General features: G+C 39.3%; 1 protein-coding gene and 1 pseudogene across 42 annotated transcripts in view, besides 1 other annotated feature; one reads left to right on the top strand and one right to left on the bottom strand.

Moving 5' to 3' along the window:
- The window catches only part of TMEM62 (transmembrane protein 62), a 52,030-nt gene that overhangs the window by 30,473 nt on the left and 948 nt on the right, over window positions 1-20,609 (bottom strand). For 6 of the 42 annotated variants that reach the window (NM_001347019.1, NM_001347025.1, NM_001347021.2 and 3 more), the window contains exons 2-5: window positions 19,023-19,160; window positions 5,793-5,917; window positions 5,521-5,643; window positions 2,727-2,882 (exon numbers count right to left, since the gene is read on the bottom strand). In NM_001347019.1, the coding sequence (NP_001333948.1) occupies window positions 2,727-2,882; window positions 5,521-5,643; window positions 5,793-5,917; window positions 19,023-19,025 (407 nt within the window). In that variant the 5' untranslated portion in view covers window positions 19,026-19,160. Of the gene's footprint in view, window positions 1-6; window positions 765-2,726; window positions 2,883-5,520; window positions 5,644-5,792; window positions 5,918-8,037; window positions 8,180-16,052; window positions 16,099-19,022; window positions 19,161-20,303; window positions 20,416-20,609 lie in introns of those variants that run through there. The other 36 variants (NM_001347004.1, NM_001347006.2, NM_001347015.2 and 33 more) reach the window with 13 other exon arrangements.
- FDPSP10 (farnesyl diphosphate synthase pseudogene 10) lies at window positions 13,405-14,578 on the top strand (annotated as a pseudogene).
- Window positions 20,217-20,428: a silencer, noted in NCBI's record as "fragment chr15:43426442-43426653 (GRCh37/hg19 assembly coordinates)". NCBI's record gives its function as "represses an EF-1alpha promoter that drives an FKBP-Casp9 reporter gene in an ReSE screen in K562 erythroleukemia cells {active_cell/tissue: K562}" and the evidence as "EXISTENCE:reporter gene assay evidence [ECO:0000049][PMID:32094911]".

Here is a 20,609-nt window from a genome sequence, read left to right as displayed (position 1 = left end):
CTAAAATGAGAGCATATATAAAACACATGGTTTGAGGTTTGTCATTGTTTTTGCAAAGGAGAATAACCTTATTGTAACTTGCAGATATACACGTATAGGCAGAACCATCATATTGTACAACAGCAGGAGCCACTATTGATATGATCTGGTTTCTTTCCGAATGGTGGCTTCTGGAGTTGGACAATTAGCAAAACTGAACTGGTAAGAAATTCGGAACTATTCTTTTACTTTTTAGAAAGAAAAATCAATTTTCTTTTGACAAATCTAGGTAAGGTAGATTCAAAGTTCTTTCTGAAGAAACTCCAGAAGTACTGATTTTTCTCTTAGGAAAATAATATAGGGTGGAAATCTCATTTTGTTAATCTAATGTCAAGCCTACCATCTACTCATTTGGTACCAGGGTGTCTGTCCCAAAGAAACAGGGTTATAACCAGAACTAGGCTACCAAGCCCTTTCAGAGAGTATGACACCTAAACCTGATATCCAGCTCCCACCAAAAAACCTGACTGACACATGTGTGTTCCATTTCATTAGTGATGAAAACAATAAATGTAAACATCTTGGTACCATTTTTTACAAGTTAATTAGTAAATACTTTTTAAAGCATAATATCCAATAATAATAAGAGTATTGTGAATTTGGCATTCATATTGCTTGGTAATATGATAAATTAGCATCTGTTGTTGAAAGTAATTGGATACCTGATACACTGCTGGTGGGAATGTAAAATGGTGCAGCCACCATGGAAAACAGTATGGCAGCTCCTTAAAAAATTAAACAGATAATTACCATATGATCCAGCAATTCCACTTCTGGATATATATCTAAAAGAAGTGACAGCAGGGACTTGAACCGTTATCTGTACACTCATATTCATAGAAGCGTTATTCAATATAGCCAAAAGTTAGAAGCAACCCAAGTGTCCATTGAACACATAAACAAAATGTGGTATGTGTGTATGTGTGTATACATATGTGTGTATATACACACACACACACACACACACACACACAATGTACAATGGAACATTATTCAGCCTTTAAAAGGAAGGAAATTCTGACATATGCCACAACATGTATAAACCTTGAAGACATCATGTTAAATGAAAATAAGCCAGTCACAAAAGTATAAATATTGAATGGTTCCACTTATATGAGTTAGCTAGAGTAGTCAAATTCATAGAGACAGAAAGTAGATTGGTGGTTGCCAGGGGCTGTGGGAGAGGGAAGAACAGGAAGTTATTGTTTAATGGGTAAAAGTTTCAGTTTTAGAAAATGATAAATGTTCTGGAAATGGATAATGGTGATGGTTGCAAAACAATGTAAACTTGAAGCAAACTTAATGCTACTGAACTGTACACTTGAAAATGGTTAAAATGGTACATTTTATGCCATGTGTACTTTGTTTAATCATGCTTACCATGATTAAAAATAGTGATTTTAGCTCCAAAAAAAAAGGGATTGAGCAATTTTTATCAACAGTCATAAAAGAATTCAAATTCTTTCACCTAGAATCCCACTTCTAGAACTCTTTCTTAAAGAAATTATTCAAGTGAAGGAAGAATATATATGTACCAGATATTCATCCACAAATAAGAAAAACCTTAAAAGTTCACCAATGAGATATGAAAATGGTTAGAAAAACTGTGGTACATTCTTTGTGCTGAAAGAAAACAAATCAGGAATTAGAATAGACTGTGCCTTATGATTATAATTATATAAAAACATCTTAAGAGAGAATGCCTGAGAAGAAATACTCAGAAGTGCTAATAATAGTTCTATTAGAAGTGGAGAAAAACATACTTAAAATCCCATTACCCTATTTTCCAAAGGTTGTTCTATTGTATTACTTTTCAAAATAAATTGTAAAAGTATATTTTAAAAAGTGCTCTTACATTTGAAACAAGTTATATATCTCTTTGCAAAAAGAATGTTAATGTCCCATTTGGATTCTATTAATCTATATAATCAAATTCATGGCCAGGCATGGTGGTTCAAGCCTGTAATCCCAGCACTTGGGGAGGCGTAGGAGGGCGGATCCCTTGAGGTCAGGAGTTCGAGACCAGCCTGGCCAACGCGGTGAAACCCTCTCTCTACTAAAAATACAAAAATTAGCCAGGCGTGGTGGCACACATCTGTAATCTCAGCTACTCCAGAGGCTGAGGCATGAGAAAAGCTTGAACTCGGGAGGCAGTGGTTGCAGTGAGCCAAGATCAGGCCACTGCACTCCAGCCCGGGCAACAAAGCAAGACTCTGTCGAAAATCAAAACAAAACAAAACAAAACAAATTCATTTGCCAACTGAATTTTCAATTCCATAAGGATTATATATATAGCTTTTGCTTTCTTAGAAGGCTACATAACAAATGAAAAAAAATTTGATATATAATGCAAATTTTAAAAAGTAGACTATAAAGGAATATGTACATTATGCTTATAGCAATGTAAAAGCGTCCAAATAAAAAGGCTGGAATAAAATAAAACAAAAATAATAATGGTAGAATTATAGATTTCTGAATGGTTTTTAAAATTTCATCAGCTTAAAAAAATGATATGCTTTTTAACTTAATGGAAACAAAACAGTAAGCAATCTATCTTTATATAATGTTTAGGTTGTTGAGAAAACTAAAATGGGGCATCTCATAGCTTTCACATGGGAATGCAATCACAATGACTTATTCTCCTTCATTATCAAACTGAAAGTAAATTCTAAAAAATTGCTACATACCTGATGTGTGTTGAGTGAAGAAGTCTTTCTAGTGGTTCATGTTCACCACAACTATAAAGGAGTGATTTAGGATTGGTGATAAGAACCACAGGCCACTTCCCAAAGATCAAATCTGCAAAGCTAAAGAGGTCGTGATCAAAAGCAAAAATCCGGTACCTAAAGACCAGATAATGATAAGGTAATTTAGTCACTTCACATTGTAAGAGGTCATGAAGGTAATATACAGAACAAATATAAAAATACATAACTAGGACTTTTTTACATGATTAATTTGAATACAGATTAAGTAATATTTTCTTTCTTTCTTCCCTTACCCCATCACTTTATCCTTCACATTTGTCACATAACTGCCTCTGACTGGGCAATGGATTCAACTGTGCTCTTGAACAACACCTGGTACACGGCATGTACTCTTTAATTTTTAAATAAATACTTGTTGAAGTAACTCATCTTATCCCTGTACTTTAAGACAATTTTGAACCTAAAATATTTATTATAACCCTAATACTTGACATTCTTCATCCCATCAACAATGCTACATAAAATATTAAAATGGTTGATATGAACAAAATTAGAAATCTTTCATGCTTCTTTTAAACCTTTCTTTCTTTTTTTTTTTTTTTTTTCTTATTTTTGAGATGGAGTCTCACTCCGTCACCCAGGCTGGAGTGCAGTGGCGCAGTCTTGGCTCACTGCAACCTCTGCCTCAGCCTCCCAAGTAGCTGGGATTACAGGTGCCCGCCACCACACCTGGCTATTTTTAGCAGAGATAGGGTTTCACCATGTTGGCCAGGCTGGTCTCGAACTCCTGACCGCAGGTGATCCCCCTCACCTTGGCTTCCCAAAGTGCTGGGATTATAGGCGTAAGCCACCATGCCTAGCATTAAACATTTATTTCTATAATTTCAAAGAAATTAAAGTTGTTTTCATTTTCCAAATGCAATAACAAAAGGTATAAAATATTCATTAAAGAATAACCAAAGTTTTATATTTTCTAACTTTTAGAACTAAAAAAAGAAATGATTCACTATGGCAGAAACAATAGTGCTCACGAAATTCTCTACACATTCCCCTGAATTTCCCAGTCTCCTGGTATCAGGTTGGGACCATGTGACTAGTTTTGGCCAATGGGCTGTGAAGAGAAGTGACACATATCATGCCTGTGGTCCAAAGTACTTAAGAGTGGGTGTGAGTTCTCCTTGCTCTCTTCCCTGCCCTGGAATCGACATGTCGAAATAGGAATTTTAAGATGGAGGAAGTCTGAATTACTGACTCATCCCATGGATAAGAGTTGTTCTGACTCATATTGAATTTATACAAATGAAAAACATTTGTGTTAAGCCACTGATATTTCTGGATTTATCTGCATCTACAACAAGGCCTAGCCTAATATTTCCAATATACTGTTTTTAAAAATTATTCTATTGTAACTAACACAATTTAAGTGTTTATAAGGGCAGGTAAAGTTTAGGTCCTTTTATCTGGAGTACGCTCCAAATAAAACCCCAGGGTTGGACACAGGAAAACTGGTGGAGAGAGAAAGGAAATGCCTTCATAATTAACATCACAACTTGTAACTAGAGCACTTAGAAGAAATAAAGAAGCTGGTCAAGGCTTAGTAAGACTATCTCACAAAAGGCAATCATAGCCCAGCCCACAGCCTCACAGCCATGAACAGACAACTCTTAGCTCAAAGTAATTATAGTTGCCAAATAATTACACGTTTCAAGCATAACTCACACAGTTTTTAAAAAGTCAACCAAAATGAGAAAGTACCTTCCAAGATGTAAAGTTCCTTTTTAATTAATGGAAGTAGTTAAAAATAAAAAGATAACATATTCAGCTCAACAAACCTTTGCTGAGTACCTATTATCTGAGAGCACAGGGTTTGTGTAAATTAAATAACTGTAATAGTTAAACAATAAGATGATACTCCTCAAAACTTGATAAACTATTTCACTTAAATACTTCTTTTTAAAAAAGAAAAAACCATATATTTAACTACACTACATGCTTTTGATAAACATATTTTCTCTTAGAGAGACTTTAACCTTAAAAAAGCCAACTATCATCTATTTGAAGAAGTTAAATCACTACCATCTTGTAACAATAACCAGTATGGTAGATACAAAATTCAGGAGGAAAAACATGACACTTCTAGTCCTAGTATTTCTCAAATTGTCATGCATAGACCACCCAGAGGGCTTTTAAAAAAGGCAGTTTGGGCCAGGCGCCATGGCTCACGCCTGTAATCCTAGTACTTTGGGAGGCCGAGGCGGGTGGATCACCTGAGGTCAAGAGTTCAAGACCAGCCTGGCAAACATGGTGAAACCCCATCTCTACTAAAATACAAAAATTAGCTGAGCATGATGGTGGGTGCCTGTAATCTCAGCTACTCTGGGCAGCTGAACGTGACTCTGTCTCAAAAAAAAAAAAAAATGTAATTTGTTGGACCCTAATCCAGACCAACACAATCAAAATCTCTAGAGGCAGCGCCTGAAAATTTTTATTTTTCATAAGCTCCTCCATAATTCTTGTGCACACTAGAGTTTGAGTCCAATTCCTAATGGACATATCTTGAAAATCCAATGTAACATAGTGATAGTAAACATCCCTGCTATGACAAGGTTTCCGCAAAATGACAAAGATTTCAGAGACATATATTACTTTAAAAAAACAGAAATATCACAAGTTTTTCTTTAACTGTGATCACCCATGATATCAGTAAGAAAACTATCATTGCTTTGGCAAAACTTATGTGTATAAGTTTTCTTCTATGGGGAGGTTCCCTTACCTCCTATTATCCTTCCAGTCTCCCACCTCAAGTTCCAAAGTGCCCTGGAAGTGACGAGTGTGCAAAACAGGCATCAGTCCACCAAGTGTATGGAGATGTCCACACAAATAAGCTATAGCCGAACTAACCAATGAAAAATAAATGAAATAAATGAACAAAGATAACGCGTGAGGCCAAACTAATAAAAATGTCTTGCCAGAAAAGCAGAATAGGTAACAGCAAAATAAAAAAACTAAAAACAAATTAATTCTGATTTTGGAAGCTTGTCTCACCTCATTATTGACCGGATTCCTGGTGATGGAGAAAGAATAGTGGATGTTGTAAAGTGTCCAAACCAAATTGTATGGTTGCTCCGACTGCTTTCCTTGGCCAGTAATAAGAGCTCCTCCATCTTTTTCTGAGATGGGAGAAAAATGGAAGGATCTTAAATTAGGGCTCAGGCTAAAATCTAATGTCAACAGATTAGAAAACTCCTCTGAAGATTTATAATAATTATTATATGTGTCTAGGCCTTAAACCTTACTAGTTAATGACCTCTATGGACCTCTGTAAGTTTCAAATTGTTTTCACATACATTATATTTCATTTGATACTAAAAATAACTCTGCAATAGGTAGGGTAGGTATTATCCTCTTTTAATAGATAAGGAAACTGCGAAATGAAGTCATCACTAATCTTTACAGCTTTGTATAACACTTTACGATTAATAAAGAGGATACAGAAACTAAACTTCTAAAATAATATCATGGAAAGACTTCTACCTAAATGTTTATAACAGCTCTGATAATAGCCAAAAACTAGAAACCATCAACAAGTTGTAATACATCCACACGATGGAACAGCACTCAGCAACAGAAAGGAAAGAACTACTGATACACACAATCATACGGATGGATCTCAGAAACATTATACTGAGCAAAAGAAGCCAGACCCAAGAGTACATACTGTATGATTTCATTTATACAAAATTTTAGAACAAACAAAATGAATCTATACTGATAGAAAACCAATCAGTAATTCCCTAGGAAGTGAAGACAGACTGTACAAGGATGACAAGACTTTAGGATGATGGAAATGTTCTATGTCTTAACTGTGGTGACAGTTATACCAATATATACATTTGTCAAAACTCTTCAAACATTTAAAATGAGGGTATTTTATAGTACTCAAATCATACCTCAAAAGTTGATTTCAAAAAATAACTGGTACCTATGTAAATATGCATTAATATTATATGTAAGGTGCTTACAGCAATACATTTCTGGGATCTACCCTCAGGGTTTTTAATTTGATAAGTCTGGGGCAAGGCAAGGGAATCTGTATTTTGTAACACTCCAGTTGGTTTTCATGTACATGATCCTTGAATTCTACCTTTAAAAAACACTATACTAAGGAATGGGATTTAATATAAGTTCATCAACCCTGACTAAAGACACTTGATAGATAAGAAACAAAATAGAACCTAATTAAATAAAATGCCTAAAGTAACACAATGCATTTGACAATATTCTGTTCACTTGATTTCACATTCTTTCGAACTCTCGTATAACTCTGAACCTCTTACTTCTAATTTAGCAAATTCTGCTCTTTATTATATTTATTTCTATACTGGTCTTATACCTCACCACTAGATTAAATACTCTAAGAGTCTAAGAACTTGATCTTATCACTTTTGTATTCTTTCATATGAGCACATATGTCTTACTTAGGGGCATATGCTTATTAAATAATGAGTTGGCATTTACTGTACCAAGAAATAATAAGAGGTTCTCAAATGAGACTTTCCACACAGTTTAAATCCAGCAATCACCTAGCCTTGTCAAAATACTTGAAAATAAACTTATTGATTTCAATAGTCATCCTTCTCTTCTTTAAAAAAATACAGACCAGCTGGGCACAGTGGCTCATGCCTGTAATCCCAGCACTTTGGGAGGCTGAGGCAGGTGGATCACTTGAGATCAGGAGTTCGAGACCACCCTGGCCAACATGGCGAAACCCCCTTTCTACTAAAAATGCAAAAATTAGCTGGGCATGGTGGCACGTGCCTGTAATCTTAGCTATTTGGGAGGCTGAGGCACAAGAATTGCTTGAGCCTGGGATGTGGAGGTTGCAGTGAGCTGAAATCACACCACTGCACTCCAGCCTGGCCGACAGAGCAAAACTCCGTCTCAAAAAATAAACACTAGTTAGAACTGGCAATTGTGGGAACTTAGGAATATACCACACAAAGCTGTATGTCCTGTAACTTGCAAAGTGCATCCTGTACTCAGTACCTATTTAATAAATGTTTACTCCATAAAGTGTGAGGTACTTCTTTCTCAGATTTTGGGACAAGAAAAAGGATAGCAAAAATAGTGCTGAAATAGCCAGTAACTTCTAGCCATACCTGTAACCAAGTTAAATTTCTCCAAAGCATTCCTAGATAACAACTAGTTTACTTTTGATAACTTTAAGTGATCCACACGTATCCATGAAAAAATAAGTAAGCTACAAAGGGAAGTAAGATTTTTACTGCACCTTATCTAAAATTCCAAAGAAATTATAGGGTCTCTTAGGCCCTGGATTTACAGTGGCATCTACACAGATGAACGAATAGTTGCCAAAGGGAGTACTGTGGACATAATGGAAAGAGCCATCTCTACGTACAGCAGAATATTTCCTAAAAAATAGAAGACAGGAGGGTGTTAGTGTAATAAAAAGACAATGCTTTAAAATTCCTTCCCTAATACGCTAGATTTTACCTTCCTTTGAAAACGAGATTTGCTGATCTGACAGAAATATACTAAACTAGATCCACAATGGATAAACTGATGAAATTTCAAAGTTTTTCTCCCATTGTCCCCAAAGACTCATGCAAACTCATTCAATAACCAAATACAAGTTCACCAAGTTCAGAAGTAAGACGGCTCTTTTAGGGAGTCCATTAAATGTTCAAAAAGAAATCAAAATCCAGTGGAACAGTATTTATCAATCATTTGCAGATTTAGTGAGGGCATACTAAGTACCTAGAATTCTTGGTGTAGTGAGATAAAAAAGCTGTCTACTTCTTGAAACAGGACTACAGAGGCTTAATTCACAAGAAAGACTTGCAAAGATGAAGTCTTCAAGCAAGGAGAAAAAATATTAGTCTAGGTCTGGGTTGTTAAATCTTTTTCAGTTCCTAAAGATATATTGATAACATACACAGGGTCTATATCCACTAATGAAAGTTTACCACCTTAAGCGTCAACAGTGTTCAGGTGTCCATAAAACTGCAGAGTGAAGACCAGGAAGAAAGGATGAGTAACACAGTACAGGGCAGGCACTCATTAAGTATGTGTTGAATAAATAAGAAGGAAAGTATAGATTTTATTGGAGGGCATACCTATATTATTCAAATGTCAGAACATTATAAGAAAAGTTGGTATTATCATTTATCTAAGTGTCTTACATGATTTTTACCTAACAGCATATATTTAAAAATACAAATAAACTCCTGAAATTTAATATGCTAGTGGGCCACAACAACCATCAAATATAATGTAACCCGAGTAAATATATGATATAGACATTACAACTAATACTCAGAAATTAGTCAAACCCAATTTAAACAATGTCAATTAGTTCTACTGCCTTTCTTCTTGGTATTTTTTAAATTTCCATTTCAGGGCCAGGCGCGGTGGCTCCCGCCTGTAATCCCAGCACTTTGGAAGGCCGAGGTAGGCGGATCACGAGGTCAGGAGATCGAGACCATCCTGGCTAACATGGTGAAACCCCATCTCTACTAAAAATACAAAAAAATTAGCCGGGCGTGCTGGCGGGCGCCTGTAGTCCCAGCTACTCCAGAGGCTGAGGCAGGACAATGGCTTGAACCCGGGAGGCGGAGCTTGCAGTGAGTGGAGATCGTGCCACTGCACTCCAGCCTAGATGACAGAATGAGACTCTGTCTCAAAAAAAAAAAAAAAAAAATTCTATTTCAGGGTTTTATTCTAAATTAAAATTTTTACTTATATTTTTTCTTGCTTATTTTATGTTCAGTTATTCCTCAGAATCTTTTTTTTTTTTTTTTGAGACGGAGTCTCACTCTGTCGCCCAGGCTGGAGTGCAGTGACGCGATCTTGGCTCACTGCAAGCTCTGCCTCCTCTCTGGGACATTTTTAAGATCAAGATTTAACTTTAATTTTTTTTCTTCAGATTGGTATTTCTGTAATATTTATATTTTTAGTAAAATGCCATTTATTAAATTCAGATAAAGTTTAGGTGGCTAAAAACAAAAATACAAAGGTAAGAAACTTTAAAGTGACTATTCACTTTACTTTCCCAATAACCACTCAGCCCCAAGTCCTGTTAATTACTTTTGAACATGTCTCCTAACTCCCCACAGTCACCATGAAAGATACAAACAGTTAACAGGAAGTGAAAGATTTTCATCTCTGTCCTCTTCCTTTCTCACATTAACAAAAGAGAACAACCTCCTCTTCCAATGTATGGTGACTCTAATCATACAAACTCAGTTAACCAGTGCTTTTTGACCTATCATCCTCAAATTGATGTCACCATCTCCATATCCAAGAACTTAGTTCAGATGGGTATGACTTTTCATTATCATGACTAGACTATTGCAGGACCCTCCTATTTAGTCCACATAACTCCAATATCTCTTTTTTCCTTTTTATCCCATCTTTTTCCTTTTTTATTGTGGGATTGCCATTTATAAAACACTATTTTAATTATGTTACTTGCCTCCTTAAGAACCTATGCTGAATTATGAACTATTACCCATCACATCTCAACTTCTATGCTTGTTACTTAAGACCTCCATAAATTAGCCCTAGGCTGCCTATCCAGTGTCATACTAGTCCTCAGTATGAATGTTAATTCTGGTGACACCAGTTTTCTTACTGCCCCTGCAAAGTTCAGTTTTTGGTTTCCCAGTCTGTAGCTTTTAAAGATCTCTTCATACCTATCTTTTTGCCTAAAATATCCTCCTTGGCATGTCTTACTTCTTCAAATGCTACTCATCTTTTAAGATTGGACACACTTTTTGCTTCTTTTATAAAGTCTTCTCTATGTCCACCCCCATGCTTTTCTAATTTCTCATAGTGATTATCATGTGTACCAAATAATCTAGCATTTCCTCGGCCATTTCTTCATGTTATTTTCTAATTGTTTCCTAAATAATTCTGATGTCCCTTAACTACACTATCAGTTCCTTGAAGGCAAAAGCCAAATTTTTAACATTAACTCATGTATCTCTCACACTATCCAACTAGGGATGGATTCTCAATAAATATTTGCTACATGATTGATTGACAATGCAGAACAAAGCTACTGAATACCCTGAGGCTGAAAAGTGCACTGCAACCAAAAGAGGAATCTAAACATAATGAAACTAGACAATTGGTTTCTAATTCAGAGATCCCTTGCCTTTTCACATTTGTGACAAATAAAGATTATTTTAATATTTGTATGACACAGGATGAAAAGATAAAGCAGCCAGGTGACTAACTGGGCTCTCCAGCCACCACAGAGGCCAGGAGAATCAGTATCTCAGGATTCTGAAAACCCAGTGACCTCAGTAGTGTGGCTGACAAGCTCTGATATAAATGACTTTTCCTATGTATCAATGACTTAAACAATTTTTTAAGCCCGTGTGGAATATTAAAAGTACCATTAGCCAAAACAAAGCATTAAACTGCATGCATATTTCAGAGATATTGTGGTTCCTGACACCACAATAAAGCAAATATTGCAAAAAAGCGAGTCACATGAATTTTTTGGTTTCCCAGTGTGTATGAAAGTTATGTTTACGGCTGGGCGTAGTGGCTTATGCCTGTAATCTCAGCACTTTTGGAGGCCAAGGCAGGCAGATCACTTGAGGTCAGGAGTTTGAGACCAGCCTGGCCAACATGGCAAAACTCTGTCTCTACTAAAAATACAAAAATTATCCAGGCATGGTGGCACATGCCTGTAGTCCCAGCTACTCAGGAGGCTGAGCCAGGAGACTCGCTTGAACCAGGGAGGTGGAGGTTGCAGTGAGCCAAGATGGTGCCACTGCACTCCAGCCTGGGCAACAGAGCAAGATCCTGTCTCAAAAGAAAAAAAAAAAGTTATGTTTACACCATACTATAGTCTATTTAGTGTGCAATTGCATCATGTCTAGAAAAACAATGCACATACCTTAATTTATAAATACTTCTACTGACTGGGCATGGTGGCTCACGCCTGTTACCCTAGCACTTTGGGAGGCCGAGGTGAGTGGATCACTTGAGCCCAGGAGTTCAAGACTAGCCTGGGCAACATTTAGAAACCCTGTCTCTATAAAAAACACAGTAATTAGCCAGGCATGGTGGCTCACGCCTGTGGTCCCAGCTACCCGAGAGGCTGAGGTGGGAGGATCACTTTGAGCCTGGAAGGTGGAGATTGCAGTGAGCTGAGATCGCGCCATTGCACTCCAGCCTGGGTGACAGAGAGACCCTGTCTCAAAAAAAAAACCAAAAAAACAAAAAAAAACCTTACTGCTAAAAATGCTAATGATCATCTGAGCCTTCAGCGAGTCAAAATCTTTTTACTGGTGGAGGGTCTTGTTTTGACGTTGGTGGCTGCTGACTGATCAGGGTGGTGGTTGGGGTGGCTGTGGTAATTTCTTAAAATAAGGTAACCATGAAGTTTGCTACATCAATTGACTTTTCCTTTCACAAGAATTTCTTGGCCGGGCGCGGTGGCTCACCCCTGTAATCCCAGCACTTTGGGAGGCCGAGGTGGGCAGATCACGAGGTCAGGAGTTCAAGACCAGCCTGGCCAATATGGTGAAACCCTGTCTCTACTAAAATATAAAAATTAGCGGGTCATGGTGGCAGGCGCCTGTAGTCCCAGCTACTTAGGAGGCTGAGGCAGGAGAATTGCTTGAACCCGGGAGGCGGAGGTTGCAGTGAGCCAAGATCGCACCACTGCACCCCAGCCTGGGTGACAGAGCAAGCCTCCATCTCAAAAAAAAAAAAAAAAAAAGAATTTCTCTATAGCATGCAATGCTGCTTGATAGCATTTTACCCAAAGAAATCCAATCCTCTCCAACACTGTTATTGCTTTATCAACTAAGTTTATGTATAATTCTAAATCCTTTGTTGTCATTTCAAAAATGTTCACACCATATTTAGAAGGAGTAGATTCCTTCTCAAGAAACCACTTTTTCTGCTCATCCATAAGAAGCAACTTGTCATCTGTTCAAGTTTTATCATAAGATTGCAGCAATTTAGTCACCTCTTCAGGCTCCACTTCTAATTCTAGTTCTCTTGCTATTTCCACATTTACAGTTCTTCCTCCACTGAAGTCTTGAACCCCTCAAAGTCATCCATGAGGGTTGGAATCAACTTCTTCCCTCCTGTTCATGTTGTTATTTTAACCTCCTCCCATTAATTGCAACTGTTCTTAATGGCATCTAGAATGGTGAATCCTTTCCATAAATTTTTCAATTGACTGCCCACATCCATCAGAGGAATCATAATCTAAGGCAGCTATAGTCTTATGAAATGTGTTTCTTAAATAGTAAGAGTTGAAAGTTGAAATTACTCCTTGATCCATTGGCTATAGAATGAATACTGCGCTAGCAGGCATGAAAATAACATTCATCTCCTTGTACATCTTCCTCAGAGCTCTTGCGTGACCAGGTGCATTGTCAATGACCATTGATATTTTGAAGGGAATATTTTTTTCTGAGCAGTAGTTCTCAATAGTGGACTTAAAATATTCAGTAAACCATGCTGTAAAGAGATGTGCTATTATTATCCAGGCTTTGTTGTTCCATATATAGAACACAGGCAGAGTAGATTTAGCATAACGCTTAAGCACCCAAGGATTTTCAGAATGGTAAGTGGGCATTGGCTCCACTTAAAGTCATCAGCTATGGAGCAGGAACCCACATCCAGGAACAGAGCCCTTTGCTCCTCCCTCAGAATGAATGGAGACCAGAAATCAGACATTTCTGTCCAAGAAAAGCAGGATTTCATTCAGTGCTTCTCCCAGATTGTTAGGGTGCTGACTGAGGATGAGATGGGGCACCCAGAGACAGGAGATGCTATCACCCAGCTCACGGAGGTCCTGTAGTACAATGCCATTGGAGGCAAGTATCACTGGGCTTTGATGGTGCTAGTAGCATTCTGGGAGCTGGTGGAGCCGAGGAAACAGGATACTGAGAGTCTCCAGCGGGCCCTGACTATGGGCTCGTGTGTGGAACTGCTGCAAGCTTTCTTCCTGGTGGCAAATGACATCATGGATTCATCCCTCACCCACTGGGGACAGATCTGCTGATATCAGAAGCCGGGCGCGGGTTTGGATGCCATCAATGTTGCTATGCTTCTGGAAGGGAAGCATGTATGTACCGCCTGCTGAAGCTCTATTGCCATGAGCAGCCCTATTACCTGAACCTGATCCAGCTCTTCCGGCAGAGTTTCTATCAGACTGAGATTGGGCAGACCCTGGATCTCATCATAGCCCCCCAGGGCAATGTGGATCTTGGCAGATTCACTGAAAAGAGGTACAAATCTAGTGTCACGTACAAGGCAGTTTCTACTCCTTCTACCTTCCTGTAGCTGCAGCCATGTATATGCAGGTATTGATAGAGAGAAGGAGAATACCAATGCCAAGAAGATCCTGCTGGAGATGGGAGAGGGAGAGTTCTTTCAGATCAGGATGATTACCCTCACCTCTTTGGGGACCCCAATGTGACCGCCAAAGTTGGCACTGACATCCAGGACAACAAATGCAGCTGGCTGGTGGTTCAGTGTCTGCAACGGGCCACTCCAGAACAGTACCAGATTCTGAAGGAGAATTTTGGGCAGAAGGAGGCCGAGAAGGTGGCCCCGGTGAAGGCAGTATATGAGGAGCTGGATCTGCCGGCCATGTTCTTGCAATAATAGGAAGACAGTTACAGCCACGTTATGGGTCTCATTGAACAGTACGCAGCTCCCCTGCCCCCAGTCATCTTTCTGGGGTTGGCGCGCAAAATCTACAAGCGGAAAAAGTGACCTAGAGACTGCAAGGGTGGGGAGAGGAGGCCCTAAATAAATTATTGTGCAACTTTCTCAACAACAACAAAAAAAAATCAGCTGCATGGACCTCTAGCAATAGTCAGCCCATCCTTTGAAGCCAGGGATTGACTTTTCTCTAGCTATAAAAGTCCTAGATGGCATCTTCTTCCAAAAGAAGGCTGTTTCATTTACATGGAAAATCTGTTGTTTAGCGCAGCCACCTTCATCAATTATCTTAGCTAGATCTTCTGGGTCACTTGCTGCAGCTTCTCCATCAATCAGCACTTGCTGCGTCACACTGCATATTTATGTTATGGAGTTAACTTCTTTCCTTAAACCTCATGAACCAAACTCTGCCAGCTTCCAACTTTTCTTCTGCTGCTTCCTTACCTCTCTCAGCCTTCATAGAATTGAAGGGAGTTAGGATCTTGCTCTGGATTAGGCTTTGGCTTAAGTGAATGTTGTAGGTGGTTTGATTGTCTATCCAGAACACGAAAACGTTCTCCACATCAGCAGTAGGACTGTTTCACTTTCTAATCATTCATCTGTTCACTGGAGGAGCACTTTTAATTTCCTTCAAGAACTTTTCCTTTGCCTTCACAACTTGGCTCACTGCTCCAGCTCAAGAGGCCTAGCTTTCAGCCTATCTGAAAGCCTTTCAACAGCCTTCCTCACCAAGCTTCATCATTTCTACCTTTTGATTTAAAGTGAGAGATGTTGGGCCCTTCCTTTCACTTGAACACTTAGAGGCCATTGTAGGGTTATTAACTGGCCTAATTTTAATATTGTTGTGTCTCAGGGAATGGGGAGGCTGGAGGAGAGGGAGAGAGATGGGAGAACAGCTGATTGGTGCAGCACTCAGAACACATACAGCACTTATTGATTAAGTTCCTGGACTTATATGGGCAAGGTTTGTAGCACCCCAAAACAATTACAATAGTAACATCAAAGGTCACTGATCACAGATCACCATAAAAGATATAATGAAAAAGTTTGAAATATTGTGAGAATTACCAAAATGAGACACAGAGACAGGAAGTGAGCACATGCTGTTGGAAAAATGGCTCCCATAGACTTGCTCAAGGCAGGCTTGCCACAAACTCTCAATTTGAAAAAATGCAACATCTGCAAAGTGCAATAAGGCGAAGCATAATAAAACGAGGTATGCCTGTATATGAAACAGAAAGAATTAAAGGAAAGAAAAACTCTAAACAAAAAGAAATGCATCTGTCACAAAAAGACAAAAAGGCTCATTTTTTAAATTACTAGAGATTCTTTATAGAAAAATTTTACCTGTTAAAAAATGTTTTCAGCTAGGCACAGTAGCATGTGCCTGCAGCCCCAGCTACACAGGAGTCTGAGGCAGGAGGATCGTTTGAGCTCAGTTCAGAGCTAGCCTGGGCAAAATAGCGAGACCCCTGCCTCTTAAAATGTTTTTTTAAAGTTTTCTCTCATTCATTGAGTTGACCACACCCTCCTTATAACACTGACTCTACATAGTGGTCTGTCTTCTGTTTATTACAGTACCTGTAATAATTCTTGATGCTGTCCAGACTTGGAATATTGAATGCATCTAATTTAAAAAAAAAAAAAAAGCAAACATTCATCCACATTAAAAAAAGAATACAAACATTTTCTTTAATGACTAAGGGAAAATAATTCTTTCTATAACAATTCTTCCACACACACCCCCAGGGTAGAGCCGTTCCATTTATTATTCAGCAAACAGTGGGAGGACTAGGAGAGGGGCACATCCTGGACAACCTCCCATTATTGCCATGGGTTTCAGTTTGCTTCCCCCACCTAGAAGTGCTTAGCCTAAGGAAAGGGTAGACTCAGCCCCTGACTCAGAACAGAGTCCAGATGGCCCTGGCCCTACCAGCAATTCATGAACTCCCACCATGGCCCATCTCTCTAGGGCCACTGAGCCTCTCCTAGAACCAGTATGGCTAGACTCAGGGTTGCTGAGTCCAATCCAAGCAGGTTAGGCTCCAAGTTCTAGACCCTAGTCTGGCTAAAACCCTGGAATCTTGATTCCAGGATGTGGGTGGGATGGACTTAGGTCCCAAGCTCCAGGCTAAGCCAGGGGCCTTCAGGGCTGCAGCAGGTAGCTGCCTTCATGGCTAGGTTTCTTGGGCAGTGGTACCTTTTCAGGATAGGGGCCAGGGCTGGAGTTGGGACTAAATCTGTAGAGACAGTCAATATTGGCATAGCAAGAGTGTAGGCCCGGCAGAGAATGACTCGGAGCAGAAGCAGCAAGAAGCCTATGAGGCGTTGCAGATGACGGCAATGAACACCCCCTGGGAAATGGCTGCCCCCATGACAGGCAGCCCACCCTCAGACCAGCACAGACAGTAGAGCTGCCTCAATGGCAAGGCCTGTGCCAAGGTGGGACTCTGGTATGACCAGCCTTCCATGGAGGCTGTCCTGTCTACACACTCCATGATTCCCGGGCAGTGGAGATGTCCACCTGCAGTCTTAAGCCAAAGTACAGCCCGGTGCACATCTGTGGGAGGGTTGGGACAGTGGGATGTTCAGATTTAACTGAGGCTCCAGCAGGGGCAACTGGCCCACCGCAAGCTCTCTGCCTCTGCTGGCACAGACTTAGCTAGGCATGGCGTGACTGTAGCAGCCTCTGTCATCTTTCTATAACACTTTTAATGGCAGAATGCCAATCAATTAGATTGATACTTTAAAATTTTGATATCTTAACAAAATTCAGATTATCTAGAAACTTATTTAAGGCACTTAGTATACTAGAGAAAAACAGGTACTTTGAATTCTATACCACTCAGAATAAATAACTTTGAAATTATAAGATTGAACTGTAGTTGCTCTTGTCTTAATCATGTGATTCTAAAAGCCAGCAAGAAGTGGATTCATGCCTGATCTACTGATCAGATAAAGTAGACAAATGAAGTACTTAGCTAATAAAAAAGTCAACCTTTATAAATCAAACAAATACACTACCATCAGGACTCTTTTGGAGAAGAGTTCATTTCCTTACCAACACAATGATAATCTTAAAAAGGGAAAGGATTATCCATTTCCCTGTTCATGCCTATGGAGATTTGTTTGCAATTTAAACTTTTTAAGCTAGGTGCAGTGACTCACACCTGTAATCCCAGCACTTTGGGAGAATGAGGTAGGAGGATCACTTGAGCCCAGGAGTTTGAGATCAGCCTAAGCAACATAGCAAGAACCCAACTCCACAAAAAAAAACTTCAAAAATTAGCAGGGTATGGTGATGCATGCTTGTAGTCCCAGCTACTTGTGGGGCTGAGGTGGGAGGATCATTTAAGCTCAGGTCAAGGCTGCAATGAGCTATACTCACACCACTGCACTCCAGGCTGAGTGACAGAGCAAGACCCTGTCAAAAAAATAATAATAAGCCAGGCGTGGTGGCTCACGCCTGTAATCCCACCACTTTAGAAGGCTGAGCAGGGGCAGATCATTTGAGGTCAGGAGTTCGAGATCAGCCTGGCCAATGTGGTGAAACCCCACCTCTTCTAAAAATACCAAAAAAAAAAAAAAATTAACTGGGCAGGGTGGTACCTGTCTGTAATCCCAGCTACTCAGGAGGTTGAGGCAGGGGAATCGCTTGAACTCGGGAGACGAAGGTTGCAGTGAGCTGAGATTGCACTACTGCACTCCAGCCTGGGTGATAGAGTGAGACTCTGTCTCACAAAATAATAATAATAATACTAGTAAATTTTAAAAAGAAAAAATAAAAGCTAAGTTTTTAAAATTTGCACACAGTAAAATTCATCCTTTGTGACTTACAGTTCTATGGATTTTGACAAATATATAGTGAACCTGAAGTCTACCACCACAATCAAAATACAGACTAGTTCCATCACCACCAAAAATTCTCCATGATGCTTGTTTGCAGTTAATCTCTCTCCCAATCCCTATCCTCTGGTAACTACAATCTGTTCTCTGTCTATTGTTTTGCCTTTCCTGAATGTCATATAAATGAAATCATACAGTATGCAGACTTACGGGTTTGCCTTCTTTCACTTAGCAAAATGTATATTTATTAAAACATCTGTCTGCATGAGTTTTGCTAAAACTCATATTTTTTCCATGTACAGAAAAAAGGACTGGGGGATGGGGGCAGGGGGAGGGATAGCATTAGGAGAAATACCTAATGTAGATGACAGGTTGATGGGTGCAGCAAACCACCATGGCACATATATACCTATGTAACAAACCTGCACATTCTGCACATGTATCCCAGAACTTAAAGTATAATAATAATAATAAAAAAAGAAGCAGCATATGTCACAAAAAAAGGACCATACCAATTGTCATCTCAAAGGCTAACAATGACATTTGAAGTTTTAAAACCACATTATATAGTTGTATTTCAGAGATGTGACCTTTAGTATATGTAAATGTCCCACTTTATAATTTTACAATCTAAGTTGGAAAATCTAGGTTCCTGAAGGGGGAAAAAAACTCTTGTCTTTATTGTATCTGGCTCTTGGCTCTTACCATGATTTCCTTTGATATCCAGCCACTTGGTTTTTTCCATGACTCTTGTCTTCTTCAGAATACCCTGGTAGGTTTGCCATTCTACCTCATGCTGCCTGGATCCCAACTGTTCCTTTGTTTTGGCATCTGTCAGGTCTCCTGTAGGTTTACACAAGAATTGAATCACAATGCAAAATAAACTACTGGGGGTTCCATTTTTTTTAGATATGTACACTGAAGGAACAAGGATACTTAAAGCACTCAACGTGTATAAGCATAACTGCTCACGAGACCACCAATGTCCAAATCGAGCCATCTAAACTAACAAGATTTTCTCAGCAAGGACTTTGTTTCTTATAGGTTAGCAAATGCCTGTTCAATCTCCTGTGATATTCGAAATGGGTTGTTAAAAAAATCTTTAAAGAGAACAGTACAAAATGCATCAATAGACTCTGATAAAATGAAAATGATTTATAAGAAATTCCAGTACTCTGAGTGGCTGCCTAATATCTATGGCAACCATATTTTCCAAACCACAAAATCAGAATATGTGATTTGACCAAGTATTATTTTTACAGCAAGAAGCAATGTGGCAGGTGGAATTGGACAACAAAATACCAAAATTTATAGAGAACTAAACAGAAAACTTTTTATGGAGGCTCATCCATTAAATCAGAACTGATACCCTTTCATGTCAGCAGAGATGCTTCAATAAGGTGGATGAGTGATGAATTCCCCAGTAAGCAAGATAGATAGATGCTCCTTTAGCTTCTTCTCCCCATTACAGTTTGAAAGCAAATAAAGTGTTTGAAGAGTCTAGAAAACTTAAGTCATAAAACTATCAAAGGATGAAGAAAAAGTGCCCTGGGTCACCGGAAGCCTCAAACAACTGAAAATATAAGATTAATAATGTAAAGAAAATAGAAAAGTTAGCAAAAGAAGAGAACTTCTGATTCGTGGTTACAGGCTTTTCCCTAATTCTCACAACCAGAACTGTAACAACAACAAGAACAAAAACCAGATACAAATATATCAGACAACAGACTGACATGAGAACCAGGAGCCTTGCTTCTACTGCTTTGACAAAACCTTGCTACGTCAAATCATTTTGCCTGGATCTTGACTCATTCAGTTATCCATAGGCAAAGGGGTTAGAATGTCCAATCTCTTCCACCTCACAGAGCTCACCTGGGGCTGTGGCTATACTGCTCCCAACGTCCCCAAAATGAAAAGCCACAGCCCTGGCTAGAGTTCTACCATGCGGACCACAGACCACCACCACAGCACGGCAAGCCTCCCTACCTGTTGCTAGGACGAGAGCTGGTTGAATGATGTCAATAGTTTCAGAACAGAATTTCTCTAAGTCTACCGCTCTGCCTGGATCTCGAAACCTGCTCAGGTGAATGTCGGATATCTGCCGAAAACAGGTATTGAACAGAGAGATCTGAGCCAGGAAGAGGCAGCATGGGGAGGGGCGGCTCAGCGGCTCTCTCGGGCAGAAGGAAAAGGCAAAGAGGCAATGCATAACGAACCCCCCAGGTAAGGACAGGGCCAGCACTAGACAGAGCCTCGAGTTACAATCTGACTGAGGTCCCCAGCCTGGAGCGT

This window comes from Homo sapiens, chromosome 15 (assembly GCF_000001405.40).
Source record: "Homo sapiens chromosome 15, GRCh38.p14 Primary Assembly".
NCBI classification, from domain to species: Eukaryota; Metazoa; Chordata; class Mammalia; order Primates; family Hominidae; genus Homo; species Homo sapiens.
The sequence above is the reverse complement of the archived record's forward strand: the minus strand, read 5'-3'. Positions and strand labels throughout refer to the sequence as shown.